Source organism: Homo sapiens, chromosome 2 (genome assembly GCF_000001405.40).
Source record: "Homo sapiens chromosome 2, GRCh38.p14 Primary Assembly".
Taxonomy (NCBI): domain Eukaryota; kingdom Metazoa; phylum Chordata; class Mammalia; order Primates; family Hominidae; genus Homo; species Homo sapiens.
The window spans coordinates 39,663,161-39,680,542 of record NC_000002.12 but is presented as its reverse complement, the minus strand read 5'-3'; the positions used below and the strand labels follow the sequence as shown (position 1 = coordinate 39,680,542).

Here is a 17,382-nt window from a genome sequence, read left to right as displayed (position 1 = left end):
TATACAGTTGAGTCCTTCTAACCAAATGGTAAATGTTGCTCCAACAGAAAACAATTCCTGAAACGATAGAAAAGTTCCAATTTCTCCTTTGAATCCCTCAGGAAATGAAAAAGAAAATTAGCAATAAGAAAGCATGTCACATTCAAAAGAGCAAAGAAAAGCTCTGTGAGTGAACAATTTGAAAACCGAAAAAGGCCCTTAAACTTGGGCTGTCCTAATGCTTACCCACTTCTAGAGAGAACTGACCTTTTCCCATCCTGACACTTTGCTGAGTTAATTAAGTTGCTGTTTTCTAGGCATCTTATAACTACAGCTGGTTAAAGCTACAAGAGACTAAACAGGTTACACGAATCCAACCTCCATATTTACATATGAGAAAATCAAGATCTGAAGAGGTAAGGTCACTTGCCAAGGTCACATAGCTAGTTAAGAGCAGAGTAAAGAACATGCCCCAAATCTCCAGTCTCCTGTCACCTCAATAAACTGCAAAATCAACTTGTTAGGAGGAAGATTGCTTCAGAATGCCAGTAAAACCACCGGTCTCTTGAAGAGCCACCTCTGCTTGAAGAGCCTGAAGAGCACCCTCACACCCCACGTGATTCTCCAGGCTTTTTTCAGCATACAGGAATCTCCCTAGTAGCAAGTCTGACACAGCAGCAGGGTGGTTCAGTGAAGAGCCTGATGAAGGACAGCAACCAAGAGTCTTTCTTGCAGCAACTCATTCCAGCTATTCTGCTTTCTGATCAAGGAAAGTATGTAACTGGAATTGCAACCGTTTTACTGGAAAAAGAATATTTAATAAACCAAAACAGAAAAAGGACATACATAGAATGAACCTGGCAAAGTATGACCAATATATTGAGTTTCCGTCTTCTGAAAACTGCCCTACTAAGTCCTGTGAAAGAACAGAGACAAAGGAAGAGTTTCTTGAAGGTAGTGACTTCCTATGGAGATAAGTAAAGAGACAAAAACACCTACATAATGATATAATCCTTCTATTAAGGATTAAGAACATTTTATGAGGAAAATCTCCATAAAGATGCACTCTTTGTTAGTTATACACTGATTTTTTTTGAATACTTCAAAAAAAAGTGTATAATAAATGTCAGCATTTTACCCATCTACCACTATTACTACTTTTTTTTTAACACCAAGTACCTTATCTTCTTTGGATTAATAATTAGTGTCTTAGTCTTTGAAAACTGAGAATAACTCTCACTTCTCCTGTCCTTGAATTGAACAACAACAACAAAAACACTGAAGTGGGTGAGAAGAGAGTGGGTCAGATATGACCGTGATTTGAATCAATCTAAGGCAAATTTCAACAACCATTCTATGGCAGATCGCCATGTGCCCAATACTAACCTGGATGGTATCCATCCCTGGCCTTAAGATAGGATGTAAAATTAACAAGGAAACCATACAGTACAATGTAGAAAGTGCTATCATAAAGGTATGTATAAAGTACAATGGCATCCCAGTTAATACAGCAATTAATTCTGCAGGGAATGAGAGAGGTGCTGAGGACAGAGGCAAGGAAAGCTAGAGAGGAAATAAGAATAGCACTAAGCTTTCAAGGAAAAGTAGATGCTGTCCAGATGGACAAGAGAGGATGGTATTCAGGCAGAGGAAGCAGTATTCACAATGACACAGAGATACGAAAGTGCATGTGTATTGAAGGACTAGAAAATGGTCTTATGTGACTTGATCCTAGATTTCATGCAGAAGTAGCTGGGTATATAACCAGAAAGGCAGCTGGAGCCACAAGGTAAAAGCTTTTTTATGACCTGCTAAATTCAGACTTGTAGCTGTAGGCAGTGGGAAATTATCAGAGATTTGGGGTTTTTTTGTTTACATCTTAACTAAAGTGTACGATTTAGTGACATTTAGTACATTGTGCAATCACTCCCAATATCTATTTCCAGAACATTTTCACAAACCTAAAAGAAAATCACTTACCCATTAAGCAGTCACTCCCTATTATCCCCTCCCTGTTTTCTGTCTCTGTGGGTTTGCCTAATCTGTATATTTCATAAATAAAATCATACAACTTATGGCCTTTGGTGTCTGACTTCTTTCACCGAGCATAGTGTTTTTAAGGTCCATCCATGTTGTAACGTGTGTCAGTATTTCATTCCTTTTTATGGCTGAATAATGTTCCATTGTATGGACATACCACATTTTCTTATCTATTCATCAGTTGATGGACATTTGGATTGTTTCCATATTTTGGCTATTGCAAATAGTGCTGTTGTGAACATTTATGTACAGTGTTTTTGTCTGAGTATCTGTTTTCAACTTTTGGGGGTATATACCTACTAGTGGAATTGCTGGGATATTTGGTTCTTCTATGTTTAACTTATTAAGGAATCTATCCGATATTTTTACTTAAAGGAAAGACATAACATTGTATTTTAGAAAGCTAAATGTACCTAATGGATATTTAAGGAAACAAGATCTATGGAGATGGTTCCCTGAAGATCCACCAAATAGTTGCTCATCTGTTCCTTCCTGCCTTCCTTCTTGGGCTTCCTATCTCCTTTCCTTTCTCTCCTGCCTGCTTGCTTGCTTTTTTTTTTTCTTGTCGAACCTACAAGTTGGCATGCAATATGGTGGTCCAAATATATGCCCACCCACATACCTTGTGGCTTTACACCATCTTCTGAGGCTTCTGTGCTAAAATCCTGCTAGCTCAGCCCATCTGTAACAGTTCAGATTGTTTTCTTGCTTCATAATTCCTGCTCTGAGGAAGTATCAAGCTGTAATAAATAGGTCTCTCGGTGTCGAACGAGAGGTCCAAGAGGAGCCTAGCACAGGAAACCTGAGGTTTGCTGGAAAGGTTTTGACTTGAACATTCCTGCTGAGATGACCAGGGTCCATCCCACTCCTCCAAACACAGAAACATATACTGCTGAACAACTGCTTCCTCCCCAGGTCTTCCAGCTTGTCATTTCAAAAGCAGATGATACTTCACAGAAATTTCAAAGATAATGAAAGCCCAATACAGACATGAGTTAAGTGGCTTTTCTTCAAATTAGAATTGTTTAATTTCTAATTTTGAACACGCGCCACTATCAACACACCAGGACACTGGCAATAGCAAGGAGTGATTTGCTAATTTTCTTGTTCAAAGTTATTATATTTATAGATGCACTGGGAAGTTGTAATCATGGTCACTCAGTTGCCAGTCAAAGGATAGAAATGAAATATGTTGTTGTTGTTTTCCTCCAAGAAATCAAGAAGTTAAAAAAAGTCATAGCCTGGCTTGAACAGATTCTATAAATGAACCTGGTTTGAGGAGTGGGGGTGAAGGGAGATATTCAGAAAAATGCTCTCCATGAAGCTCTTCTTGGGAGGCACTGAACATCCAGGGGTGGGGGAATGGGGACGAGAGTGAGGACAAAGGCTGTACATAGGAAGCACTGAAGCACCAAGCTCTCCAATCCAATGTGTATTAAATTCATAGCAACTGCACCTTCTGATCTTAAAGTACATTAATATTCCCTAGAATGCACAATTTTGAACATTTACCTTCAATTTTAAAAGTGCAATTATAAATAAGCCTCCTTAGAACCAACCATGCCATCTCTGAATCTCTAGAGATTAAAGAGACTCAAACAGCTCTTCAAACAGAAAAGCACAGGGCTTTCAGGGCACTTCCATGTGTCTATTAGGGCAGTATGTGGAGAAAGTGGTAGATCTGGAAAAGCTGGAAGAAAATCTGAGTTCTCTTCTCAGTCTTCTCCTACTATGGAATGACCATAGGCAGGATGGGACTGCCGCCTGAACACACCTGCTGCTTCAGGCTCTATCTTGTGTGGCTCTCTGGAACCCCTCTTCCGTGGCTGACCAAAGCCAGATTTTGTTCAGGTGTCAGCCAGCCAAGTGCTTCCTGGGGAGCCTGGGCCCTTTCTCCAGCCCCAGGGCTGAAGCTTGATTGGTCTAAGAAAATCATGGTCCATTCCACTTGCCCGGGATTGCTTTAAGAATGGTCACGTGACATAATTCTAGCCAATGAGACCGGTGGGAAGTCTGCAGGACGCCTTCTGGGAAATTACATTTATTGTAAAAGAAGACATCGGAAAATGGGGACTGGCTTCTTCCGTTTCCTAGCTCACTCACAGAATTCACAACTAGCAACTCACAGAACTGTCATGACCAGGTAGAGACATGGCTCAAGACAAAACTGCCTACCTTGGGTCTGCTAAAGCCCAAAACCATTGAATCTCTTTAATTAACTAGCCACATGCAGGCTTTCTCCAAACGTCCTGTTACACAAGATAATACGTTTTCCTTGTAGGCTAAGCCATTTTTATTTGGGTATTCTATTATTTGGCACTTAAAGGCCCACCCAAGTGAGTGGATAAATGTTTATCAAGCACTTTATCAACTACATATTTTAAAATTACACCCACAACCCAAATTATAATGTTTCATATCTAATGAGAAATACTGCTATATCTGACCTTGTTTAGAAATAACTATCATCCCAACACTGGAAGGCCAAGGTGGGAGGATCGCTTGAGGCCAGGAGTTTGACACCAACCTGGTCGACAAAGCAACACCCTGTTTCTACAAAAAAATTTAAAAAGAAAAGTAGCTAGGCATGGTAGAGCATGCCTGTAATCCTAGCTACTCCAGAAGCTGAGGTGGGACAATCACTTGAGCCCAGGAGTTTGGGGCTGCAGCAAAGTATGACCGCGCCACTGCACTCCAGTCTGGACAACAGAATGAAACCTTGTCTCTAAAAAAGAAAATCGTTTTTAAGAAATAAATAACAACTCCAGAAGACTGCATGTATGGATGAATACCTGACCAGGAAAAAAAAAATGTCTGGCATTTTAACCTGTAAATACAGCCAGAAGAATGTGAAAACAAGAACTGTGTGATAACTTATAAATAAAAACATGCTCTAAAAAACACCCATGCCACAGATTTCCAAAATTACAATCTGGGGCCTATTAGTAAGCAGCACTCACTTTCCCCTGTGGCATCATCAAAATAATACCGCAGAATCATCTGTATCGGTGGTTAAGTCAACGGGGAACTACTCTGTTTCACGCCTCTCAGTGGCTCTCAGACCTATTTATTTCAGTAACTGTCACATTTGTATGGCATACAAAACTGCCCTTTTATAACCTCTCCTGTCATTATTTTTTAACTTTCCCAAATCAGATGTGTTGGGACCTGTTCAGAGGACTGGTAGGTAATGAGTTATTTATACAGCTGCCAATTTTCCAAATCAGTGGTGGTGCCTAGAGATGACTTTGGGGGACTGAGCACTCATCCTTCAGCTCACCATATACCCCCAACACTTCAAAATGCATGATCTGGATGAAGCCCCCACCCCTACATCTTCTATACAAAAATCAAAGGGCCTACTCCTTCCAAGCAATATATTCTGTCTCATAAATTAAAACCCATTTGAGATTATGCTGATAATAGCATCCCCCTTGCTCACAGGCATTCTGATAATATGGTTTGAGAGAGAAATGAAGGCAGTTAGAGCTGGTATGCCAGGTTTTGTGGATAATTGACAGGAGTCTGTAGCCCGAGTGCAAATCACCTATCACCCACATTATAGTATAAAAATCAGGTAAGAATCACTGCTTGAAATTCCTTTCAACTCTATGAATTTTTTATTCTACGCGTGCTTATTTTCCTCCTACCAACTTGAATTTCAGAAAGAAAAGGTAACTTGAGAAAAAAAAAGAGAGAGAGAGAAAGGAATACAAGACTTTGATGCTTCTTCAGCGGGTATCTTCTGGCTGGATTTTTTCTTGTACTGCTGTATAGTAAACAGTTCCTTTGTGTCTTTTTTGTTTGTTTCAAACACCTGAAGAAAAAGACAAATTTTTTTAATTTTTTTTATTTTGTTTTTCCATAAGTTATTGGAGTACAGGTGGTATTTGTTACATGAGTAAGTCCTTTAGTGGTGATTTGTGAGATTTTAGTGCACCCAGCACTGGAGCAGTAAACACTGCACCATATTTGTAGTCTTTTATCCCTCGCCCCACTCCCGCTCTTCCTCCCAAGTCCCCAAAGTCTATTGTATCATTCTTATGCCTTTGAGTCCTCATAGCTTAGCTCCCAATGATCAGTGAGAACATACAACGTTTGGTTTTCCATTCCTGAGTTACTTCACTTAGAATAATAGTCTCCAATCTCATCCAGGTTACTGAAAATGATCTTAATTCATTCCTTTTCATGGCTGAGTAGTATTCTATTGTGTACACACAGTTTCTTTATCCACTCTGATTGATGGGCCTTTGGGTCGGTTCCATGATTTTGCAATTGTGAATTGTGCTGCTATAAACATGCACGTTCAAGTATCTTAGAAAAAGACAATATTGAACCGTTGATGTTGGCAGTCACTGTTGCTTTTCCCGCCACTCCTTAGTTCAGCCTATCTGTTTTTCCAATACTTGTAAGTTGTAGCTTCCTTCAACCAAACTTCCATTGTCTGAATACCAAGAGAAGTTTTCCTACAAGCAGCTTTCAAAATTGTGAGAACTTAAAAAAAGGTGTTAAAACTCAAGTTAACCAGCAGCCTGCCCCCACTCACTTAGACCCCCTTCCTCACTGCTCTGGGTATAGTTAGGGAAAGCACATTCCCATGGGACCACCCCTGTTTTTCACTAAACAGCCTCCTGTTTAAAAAAAAATCATTTTTAACATTTGTTGATGATTGTTGAGTGAAGCAAGTGCTCACATCCCCCACACCAAATAAAAATTCCTTGAAATGTAGACAAAAGAGATCCAAGCCCAGTATAGCCTCCCATCCACCACTGCCCCTACCCTGCTAGTTCTGCTGTAACAGACCTTAAGAGTGCAAGTTAGTACTTATTTGCAAGGCAGATGGAAGCATGGTGTGGGTTTGCATTTGAGTGACCTGTTGTAAAGAGACAATTAAGCCTTCTGGAATTATCTGTACACTCAGAATTTCCTACTTACATTTCTGGAGTCTCTTCCCTAGCTATAGAATGTCAAATCACTTGGTGAAACCAAAAGGGAATATATTACATCCTTTAGGTTCTTAGGGGAAAAATGAGTTGATTGATTTTTACCTATGAACGAAATATTAAAAAGTCTGAACACTGGAGGACATCCAGCAAGTTATAGAAAATAATTCAGTGTGTCCTCAGTAATTAAAGATAACAGAAACTTAAATATGGTTTGTATTTGTCCCCGTTTGTTCACTTGCTAATGCATTCCCTGATGGGTGTCCCCATGACATTACTGTTGGGTCTGCAATCAGCTATCTGGCGGAGTTGCAAGAAAGATGGGGTGCAGCATGTAGTTTCCCGTGACTCTGCAGCAAACAAAGGCTGTCAGCTTCATGACGACGGCCAAGGCGGACTCTCTCATGCTCCAAGGCTCAGGGCATGAAGAGATGGCCAATCTGAGGTCGTGGTTTGCTGGCATGAATAATCTGTGATTATAATCTGAAAATCTGTGATTATATAATCTGTAATTATAAGCTGATTATCTGGAGCACACAGCACTACAGATGTACACAAAGATGAAAGCAGAGTTCATTCTTGCTAACTGTTGGGAAAACCCTGTGACCCACCTCAATTCCTTCAATGTTCCCATCCCCTGGCATTTCACACTTAGCATTGACATTTTCTCAATGGGAAGGAATGTCCAGACGCTCCTCCAACAAAAACTGATCTTTTATAGCAATCAAGGACACTCGCTGGGTGAGGGAAACCCAGTGGCTCACACCTGTAATCCCAACACTTTGGGAGGCCAAGGCAAGAGTATCTCTTGAGGCCAGGAGTTTGAGAACAGCTTGGGAAACATAGCAAGACCCCATCTCTACAAAGTTGTTTTTTTTTTAAATCAGCCAGGTGTGCTAGCACACACCTGTAGTCCCAGCTACTTGGGAGGCTGAGGTGAAAGGATCACCTGATAACCTGAGCCCAATTCAAAGCTGCAGTGAGCTATGATCGTGCCACTCAGCTCTAGCCTGAGTGACAGACAGAGCAAGACTCTGTCTCAAAAAAAATGAAAAAAGAACCGTTGCAATTATAATTACGAGCAGTCTGCCTGATGGGGTTCGAGGGCTCTTTTTGCTATCTGAAGAAGAAAAATCAGTAGCTAAGGAAAAAAAGCACAGCAACTCGGGTATAATTGGATGTGAACTTTCTATGACATAGCAAACTCTTCCTTTTTTCCCCTCAAGGCCATTGCTAAATGTTATCCATGAAACATAGTGAATGAAAATGTCATTGATTCTGGCAATTTTGATCATAAACTACTTAAAGTACCATCCACTTTTGTGTTTATAAATCACTTTTAAAAGACAATTCCTGTGTGCAGATAGTAAGAATGGAAGCAAGTATATTCTTTTGATGGCAGAGTGGCAAGAATTTAATTTCTATTCAAGATAACCTTCATGATGTTAGCAATAGAATGTGTTGAAACATTGAATATCACACTTGGGTATGTTCAGCCTCAGCACACTGTGGAACAAGCTAAAACTACAAATCTAGTCATTAAGAGTTGTGTAGTATGAGCTAGCAGTTGTTTAATCAAAAAGGGCTCATTTAATACTGTGCCTAATGTCAGAATTGGTACAGAAATAAAATGCATCTTCTTCTCTCCCCTGTGCAAGATAAATGTGTGTGATATAAGAGCGCACTGGGATACCCGCCATGAATTTCAGCTGTGATAGGAAAAATCCCTCCTCCTCTGCTCAGATGAGAGACTTGGCTCTGAGCAGTGAGAGAAGCAGTCTTGAGAGTGCGGTCTGTACATGCCAGGGGTGCACATGAAATTCTTTGGACAGTGGCATGAAAATGGTTGAACTTCTAGTTATATATATGTATTACCACATCCCTTCGAAATTTGCTTTTGTCTGTTTTATGATGTATGTGTCAGTACAGTCCATGCACATAATTTAAAAATGAATAAACATAAATCACAGAGTGATGCCCAAAGAATTTCAGACACTACTCGCCTTGAGAAGTAAAGAGGGAAAGAAAAACGAAGTCTTAATCATATCCCCAGAACCCCCAAAACTGAGGAATCCCTTTTACCAGCAGCATCTTTTAACCCAAGAGAAGGTCCGAGAACAATCTGTGAACCACTGGGTCAAGAAGGAGAGACGGTGCTGGTTTCTCAACTTCCCTAGATATATCTGCTCTTGGAAGATAATTATTCCAACACAAATTATACTTTGGTCTACAAATGAGCTGAAGAAAATCATCAATCTATTTCTGTGTCAGGTAGAACTTGGTGGGTCCTGTGCAGACTATTAATTTCATGGGAAATAAGCAACAGGAGAGGCAGATAAATCATGAGCAGAGTGAAAAGCAGACCCAATGAATTCCTACCAAATCTCTTACTTTGCTTTTCTTATAGAGAACAAAATGACAAAGTATTTATGACCCACTGTCTTTGATATCTGTTTATCTCATTAGAGGAAAAATGCTTCTGCAACTACAAGAACATGTTCTATTCCAAGTTTCAAGAATTCAAACCCAGTTGATTTATACAGGTCAGCATTGTGCATACAGCCTTATAATCTTCACATTTCTGAAATCCTATCATTTTTAATTTTATAAAAACAAAACACATTAATTTTCTGTTTTTATTGCAGATAATATGTAATATTAGAATTTCATTGACATGCACAAAGTATATATAATAGAAAATAATGTTAATTGTTTTTAATGAAAATGTTTCATTAAAAAGTTAAAGTGAAGGCTAGTGTGAATAGCTGAACTTCTAATGTCATTTCTATGACTCCAATTTCTATTCAAAATTGATTTCTCCAAAGTTCTACATAATGTATTTGCAAGTCACATCAATGTTTATTTATTAAAGTCAGTGTTTTCAAGAACTGAAAGAAGCATTACATAATGTTTCCAACTGAGTCTGCTTCCATCTGTCCTGTCTTCCTATTCATCCAGTAGTTGAAACATATATACTGCACTTGGGAGAGAACAGCTAGGAGTCCCCTAAAGGATGCTGCATGTGATCACTCTGCCCTGTATTTTCTGTCATTTTACCCACCAGTGCTATCAGCCATCCCAAAGTATTCTCCTACCCTGGTCCTATGACCTACTAAGAGTAGTTATAATATAATCCACTAGAAAATACTAACTCCACTACTTGAAATAAACTCTATGAAGGCAGGGATTTTTATCTATTTTATTCACTCCTGTATCTTCTACACCTGGTACAATAACCAACACTCCAACATCTATTTGTTGAGTGAATAAATGGATGAATGAATGAAGAACTATCTTTAGGCCACTTGTCATTTCCTGGCATCCTTTTATAATCCATGACACACTCACTTACCTTACAGATTTTTACACCTAAAGACTTCTTTCAGACCCCGCCCCCCACATTCCCAGTGCCACAGAGGTACCTGAAGCCCTAAGCTTTAAGTCCATTTTGTTCAACTATTCCAGCACTCAAATCGCTGGGTGAAGGCTGATTTCATTTGCATACTTTTCCAAGTCAGTCCTTACTTGGATCAGCAAAGCTTCCTCAGCATCAAAAGTTAGCCAGTGCTGCAAGAATGGCATATAAGGAAGACTAATTTAGAGTCAACTGACCAACTCAAACACAAAAGAACCCCCACATGTTTAGCCAAAATCTTCTAACATTACCTTGCACATAATAAGCTTCTAATGGGCATTTACTGAATTGGACAGTAAGTATGGAAATACAGTATGAATGTAATATCTCTAAAGCATTTGATAAGTTATCATGTTATCCCAGTGAACAAGATAGTGAAATGTGGATTGGTCAATATAGTGCTATTAAGAGAACTTGCTGCTAGAAAAATAACTATGTTTAAACTATGCTGGCAAATATTTTGTTTTATTTGTCAGTCTGGTAGAATAGCAAAGGGTTCTAGTCTTGGTTCTTAATGAGCGTATCAATAACTTTACCTCCATTCTTTCTGAAGGTTCTGGCTAAACGTCAAGCCTAGACCATTCCAGGCTCTGGGCTAGATAGAAGTGAACTTGTATCATAATAAGAGTGTGAAAACAAGAACTTGATGATTCTCCCAAATACTTGTCCCATTGAGATAAATGCTTTTCTAGCTCCAGTGATTTCTCTTAAGTAGACTAATATTATAGAGCCTTGCATATTTCTAAATTAATCTCTTATTGCCCACATTGCATGTTTCTATCCCCTGTACATCTCTCAGAAATATATCTCTCTTGTCTTGCCTCCAGTAATAGGAAATGTAAATAATTCCTATTATGAGAATGTTTTCCATATTATCAACTCTACATTTTCTTCCCTGCACTCCTCATTCAACTCCTAGCTTTGCCCTCTAGGTCCAGAGAAGAAAATGCTGACATCTTTGCCTCTCAGAAGCTCACTAAGCATGCCAGACAGTTCTTGAGCCCTTTTTCCACCCCTCCCCACTCTCCCATCTGAATAAACTTTTCATTTCCTACCATTAAAATTTCTAAACGATGCTAAGACTCATAAACAAGGTAACTCATAGAAGAAAGAATGGAACTTGGGACTCTAGTTGCTCAAATTTTAAAATTAGATACAGTGTTAATTTCTAGTTTTATAAATGGCTCATTTAAGAAATTCATACCACAGCCACTAATGTCAGATGCCAAAACAAAGGTGATAATGTTTGCCTAATATGGGTGCCAAAATCATCTTTGAGCCAGGAAAATGTTGGTGACATTTTCTTTTCTCAAATTATTCATAGACTCAGAATTTTAAAGCTGCTCTTGTCACCCATACATTTCACAGATGATGAAACTGAGATCTAGAAGAATTATGTAACTAGCCCAAGGTTGGTTAGTAGCAACATTACAAGGCATTTCTGGACATCTCCCAAACAACAAATTATGATCCTATAATCTACCAATGCCTGTTCTTTCCTCCAAACTCCTCATTGCTTAATAGCGTTGGCTCATTAACTTTGCAAGAAGCTAAATTTACATTGTTATTAATTATAACAATGACAGATATGTGAACTAGAAATTTCTCTAAAGAATAGTCATCCCTCCTAATAATACCACAGACAAGGAAACCGAAGGCGAAGAAGGTCTTGATACTTGGAGAACACACTGCAATTTAGCAACAGAGCCAGCAATGGGGCCCATATCTTCTGTTCACAACCTAGAACTCTTCAGTGTTCTACACAAAAGATTAGCTAAACACCATCAATATTATAAAGCTGAGATTGTTTTCATCTAAAAATAGGCATTCGTGACTGGGAAAATCTAGTTCTTTTAACGAGTATATGAGTTCCGTCTTACGGAAGTACTGGGCTAGACAACCATTTGTCAGAAAGATTGTAGAAGGGAATTTGAACAACCAGTAGATGTTCAACTTCAATGACCTCTAAAGTCCTTCCACCTCTATTATTTGACCCTGGACTGCCCTGGAACTGGCACCTCAGTTAGCCAGGGCATTTGCAGAGGCATTGTGCAATATCCTGTGGGGGTCCCCTCTTCTACTGTAGGTTTGACTCTGCCCTGCTGTTTCAGGCATTGCTCTATATCCAATTTACATGCAATCAAATACTCTAAGCATAGAAAGTGTAAGGAAATGCAGTTCTGTCATTTCCAAAGACAGACTACACTGCTTAGCTTTCAAAATTGCCTTGCCTAAATGAGCACTCCATAACTGAGCCTCCACATTCAGCTTTTACAGTTTGTTCATGTACTATGCTACTATCAGAATTAATTATGCAGCATCTTCATGAGGAGAAATCAGATTTGGATGCAAGTTAGGAGAGAAAAGAAAATGGTGCACTTCCCAAAAGATTTTACTGTATCTGGTTCCCCTAAAAGTGCTGGAGTCCTTCCACACGCAGACAGATTTTGGATGGCAGTCCCCAGCTGAGTTAGCCATGGGAAGGAGGAAGTTGACATGTTTGAGAAATGAAGAATCCGCCAACTAGCAAGACTCTGAAGGCCAACACATTATTAACCCCCTCTTTTCTATGTCATTCCATTCCAGGCTGTAACTCAACACAAATCCGTCTGTTTGTTTTCCTACATGGCTACTAAATATTAAAATGTACTGATTTTGGACTTTTTCTTTTTTGGCATCATGAGTCCAAGAGAAGAGATGTTGATTTTTTTTTTTAATCTCAAAGGGGAAAAAAATACATTGAGTCAAGTTCTGAAAGTTAAAGGAAGCTTCACAAGTTGTCACACTGAATATTTTTACGTGAATGGGATTACCAAAAAAAAAAAAAAAATCAAACTATCTGATAGCATTCACAGAAGACAGGTGTTGCACAGATTTCAGAAGAACAAATTGATGCTCTGCAACTCAGTGCCAAACAAAACAAACAACAAAAACAACCTGACAAGGTACCACGAACAGAAGACAGAGTGATAAGCAGAGAGTGAGTGCCCAAATCTGGAAAGCTCTAGTTTAAAGGGCGAGGACATTTTCTCTCCTCAGTGCCTGGACAGCGAGGAGGGTGGGGGTATGGGGTCCTCAGGAAGGTTGGAAAGCAGGTGTCCTATCTGCCTCGGGCAGCCTCCACCAGCCTCCACCAGCCAACGATTGGTCTCTGAAGTCTAATCCACACACACCCTGCACTTCAGGGGTATGAAGGAAGGTTCCGGGGCCTCCTTCGCTGCCCATCAGCCCTGCCAGGCTGGGATGACCACATCAGTTCCGTCTGACACCAGCATCCGCACAATACAGGCAAAGCCCCTTCCCTCTCTTCGGAGGTCGGCACCACTTTTCTTCCAAACGGTATTTCCAAAAGGAGCACAACTTGAAGGAAGGAGCCCGGGTGAGAAAAGTCGAGTCTTTGACGGTTAGTCCCCCTCACGGGGAGCAGCGTCAAGAAAAGACACACATGTCAGGCAGGTGTACAAAGGCAGAGAAGGACGGGGAGAGAGAGAGAACCGGGGAATGGGAGGCGAAGGCAGGAAAGAAGGAGACAGAGGCGGGAGGTGCGGCACGGACTTGAAAGGACGCGCAGGATGTGGACGAAAGAAGAGAGTCAAGGAGAGGGAGAAGAAGGGAGGCAGTGGGGAAAGAAAGGGAAGAGATAAAGACTGGAGGCGGCGGGAAGGATGCAAGAATGCCCAGGCGCGGGGCCGCGGCTGGGAGGGGGCTGCGGGGACCGGCGCGCCCCTGGGAAGCCGCGGGCTGCGCTCCACGCGCGGGCGCCGGGGACGCGGGGTGCGCCCGCCGCTCACCTTTCAGGATGAGGGTGTCGATGTCCCGGTCGATGCCCAGGAAGTAGCACTTCCTCCAGAGGCCCGAGTAGGTGGCGAAGAGGGGCCGGCCGCACTCGGCGTCCAGCCCGCCGAGCCCCAGGAGCGAGCGCCAGGACTCGGGGTCGGCGCGCCCCGGGCCGCCCGGGAGCAGCCGGCGCCCCAGCGGGGGCGAGTCCCGCAGCGGCAGGTGCGACAGCGGCATCAGGCGGTTCTTCTGGTCCGGGGGGTCGGCGCCCGCGCGGCTGCGCTCGCAGCTCTCCTTGTGGCGCCGGGGGTCGGTCTCGTACCAGTGGTCGGTGAAGATGGCCGTGACGAGCAGCCCCAGGGAGCACAGGCTGAGGCCGAGGCTGAGCGCCGTGACGAGCGCCCGCGGCTCCATGGCTTCCCGCCCCGCCGCAGCCGCCGGTGGGCTCGCGCGCCGCCGCCAGACACAATGCACTTGGCCCCAGCTCTCCGCCCGCTCCCTCCCTCTTCCCCCCACCTGCCCCCCACCTCCCTCCTACGGCCTCCTCGCCCTGCGAGCCCGGCCCGGCTCGCTCCCTCTCCCCTGGCCTGATCTCGCCTCCCACCGCCCGCCCGCCCCCGGCCCGGCCCCCGGGCTCCTAGCCCTCCCCCGCGCCGCTCTCGCTTTCTTGCCCCCCTCCTCTTCCCCAGCCCCCTCTCCTCGCCCCGGCGCCCCCCACCCCGCGCACTCCTCTCGCCCCTCTCCCTACCTCCGATCCACAGTCCGCCCTCCTCTCCAGCGACCCCCCTTCCCCTTTTAATCTCTCCTCGCCGCCCTCATCCTCCTCTCTCCCCTTAACCCTGTCCCTACTTTCCCCCGACTTTTCTCCAACTCTTCCTCTCACACTTTCCCCCACTCATTTGCTCCTCTGCTCCCCGGCTCCTGGTGCATTTATATCCCGGCTCTGGACTCGGTGCCTCTCTCCACCTACCCCTCGGCACACCCCTCCCGTCCTCTTCCCTCCAACGACCTTAAAAGACATCCACCGACATAAGACTCACTCTTGTCACTTGTCCAAGTTGATTTTGATCAGTGTCCCGTTTTGTACCCAGGAGCAAATCCCATCCAGGTCGGGCTGCGTGGTAGCGTTTAACTCCTTGGAATCTTGATCTGGAGTCCGAAGGTCCCTTTGTCCTGCCGCCTGCCGCCTGCAGGATGAAGCCTCTGAGACCCCTAGGCAGCCAGCTCTATCTGTCGCGGCTCTTTCCCTCTCACTTGCCCATCGCTTAGCCTCTAAGCATTCTCTCTGCTCAAGCCCCTCTTCTGAAAGAAAAAGACACCGAGTGTCAGTGGAGCGATAGAACGATGACCAGAGATTTTTCTCCCACTTCATTTCAACCTGCTATGAGATGGACTTCTTTTTTCGTTGACTACGTCCATCTCCCGCCAGACTGACTGGCCTCCTGGAATTTCTAGAAGAGCCTGGAATCAATGAACCCTGGCAGTGGCACCTGCTCCATGAGGTGATTATTGCCTTTGCATACAGCAAGCCCCCAGTAATAAATCAAAGTAATGATTTTCTCCTGTGCAGGTTTCCTTCTTGGGCTGGGGGGTGGGGGTCAACAGCAAAGCAATGCTACACACCAAAGTCAACACCTGAGCCTGGGGCAGTTCTTCCATCTTCCAGTCACAGAGGTTACTTCCAAGAATGGCAGGCAGATTCACATTTTCTAAAATGAGGAAACGCTAGGACCCGGGGTGCTAAGAGTTAATCACTTGTGCGGTATAGTCAGTCTATACCACAGAGGTGCAATACACTCGTGCCACTCAATGCCCTTGTGGTCATGTCAGAGACAGAAAACCATGCTGCACTGGCCCAGGGATGAAAATGCTTGTGTTCTTATGCTATGAAATATTAATGATGAAGAAATTATGAGGCATTCATTACATGCTAAATGTCATTACTCCATGATTTAATGGGACTTATTAATTAGTGCCCTACATCAATTGGTATTAATATGCTTTATATCCTTCCTCTAGGATGACATCTGTAAAGGTGGTATAAGGCTCTTGCTGGGATTTATTTTCATTGCTGTTTGTGTTTAGCATCTTCAGAGGGTACATTTCCAGTGAAGATCGTGTGCCTATTCTGAGCGGTTCAGTTCATAGATAGATCACTTAAGCAAATCTTTCAGTTATATCAGACCCGCATTCCCATTTCTGCTGACCTGACAGTGTGAATTATTGCTTGGATTTTCTCACAGTTTCAGCAAGGTCTATGGTGAGCTCTAGTCTAATTAAGGAAGACAAAGAATTATAATTTTAGTGTTCCTCTCACCTATAAGCTTTTCCTTCACAGCAAACACTGAGCTCATCAAAGGAGTCTTAGCTGGATTTACACAAAAATGATAAGACTTAGAAGCTTTCTTTAATTTATACTCTACAATATGTATAAAATCCTAGATCTTAATAGATGCACAGAGAGAATACCTTTAACTGTGAGTCCACAGTTGACATCTGAAATTCACTCAAGTCATCATGTGTTCTTTTATTTTTAGAAATGCATCTTGAGATAAAGTTATCAAAACCTTGGAAGCCCCAAGGGTTGTCAAGCCTTTAGCAAGTCCTCATCCCCTTTTCAAGTCTTCACCTCATGTATTACAAGAAATAAATATTCAGCCACATTCCAGAGTCACCTAATCATCTTCACACAATAACCCTGTCTTCAGCTGGAGCTAGACAGAAGAAAGCCTCTTTTTAAGGCACTTCTGTTTAAATTAAAAGAACTTACCATTCTGTCTCATTTTCCTAGCTAGAACTCTTTGATCATACTCTTTTTAGAAAATAGCATTATTCTTCAAGTTCATTTATGTCTATGTTTAAGACCATTCTCAGCATATAATCCAAAGGTTACTATATGATGGATTGCCCTTGACAGTATTTCATAAAAAATGTCACACATTACAAATATGGGCCAGCAGTATGTAATGAGAGCGCTGCCTCTGCTGGTGCAGCATTAATGGCGCCAGCAGGGATGTGGCATATGATGTGTACACAGGCTTTGTTACAGCAACTGCACATTGCTCCATCTATGTTTTTAAAATTCCCCTTTTGGATACTTCCAACAATGAACTATCACCCAGTAGCCCCCTACTCTGTTAGGGGAGTGAAAAATATGAAGATGAGTAAGTGGTGCCCATCTTCAAGATACTCCCAGCCTAGTGGCGAGAAACAGATGTATTGACAGAA

At 42.4% G+C, this 17,382-nt stretch overlaps 1 protein-coding gene across 7 annotated transcripts in view; it reads right to left on the bottom strand.

Moving 5' to 3' along the window:
* Nucleotides 1–15,060, bottom strand: part of TMEM178A (transmembrane protein 178A) — a 70,478-nt gene extending 55,418 nt beyond the window's left edge. For 5 of the 7 annotated variants that reach the window (XM_024452702.2, NM_152390.3, XM_005264144.1 and 2 more), the window contains exon 1: nucleotides 14,169–14,626. In XM_024452702.2, coding sequence (XP_024308470.1) covers nucleotides 14,169–14,568 — 400 coding nt within the window. In that variant the 5' untranslated portion in view covers nucleotides 14,569–14,626. Of the gene's footprint in view, nucleotides 1–474; nucleotides 14,627–14,902 lie in introns of those variants that run through there. The other 2 variants (NM_001167959.2, XM_047443422.1) reach the window with 2 other exon arrangements.
* Between the last annotated feature and the right edge of the window lie 2,322 nt (nucleotides 15,061–17,382).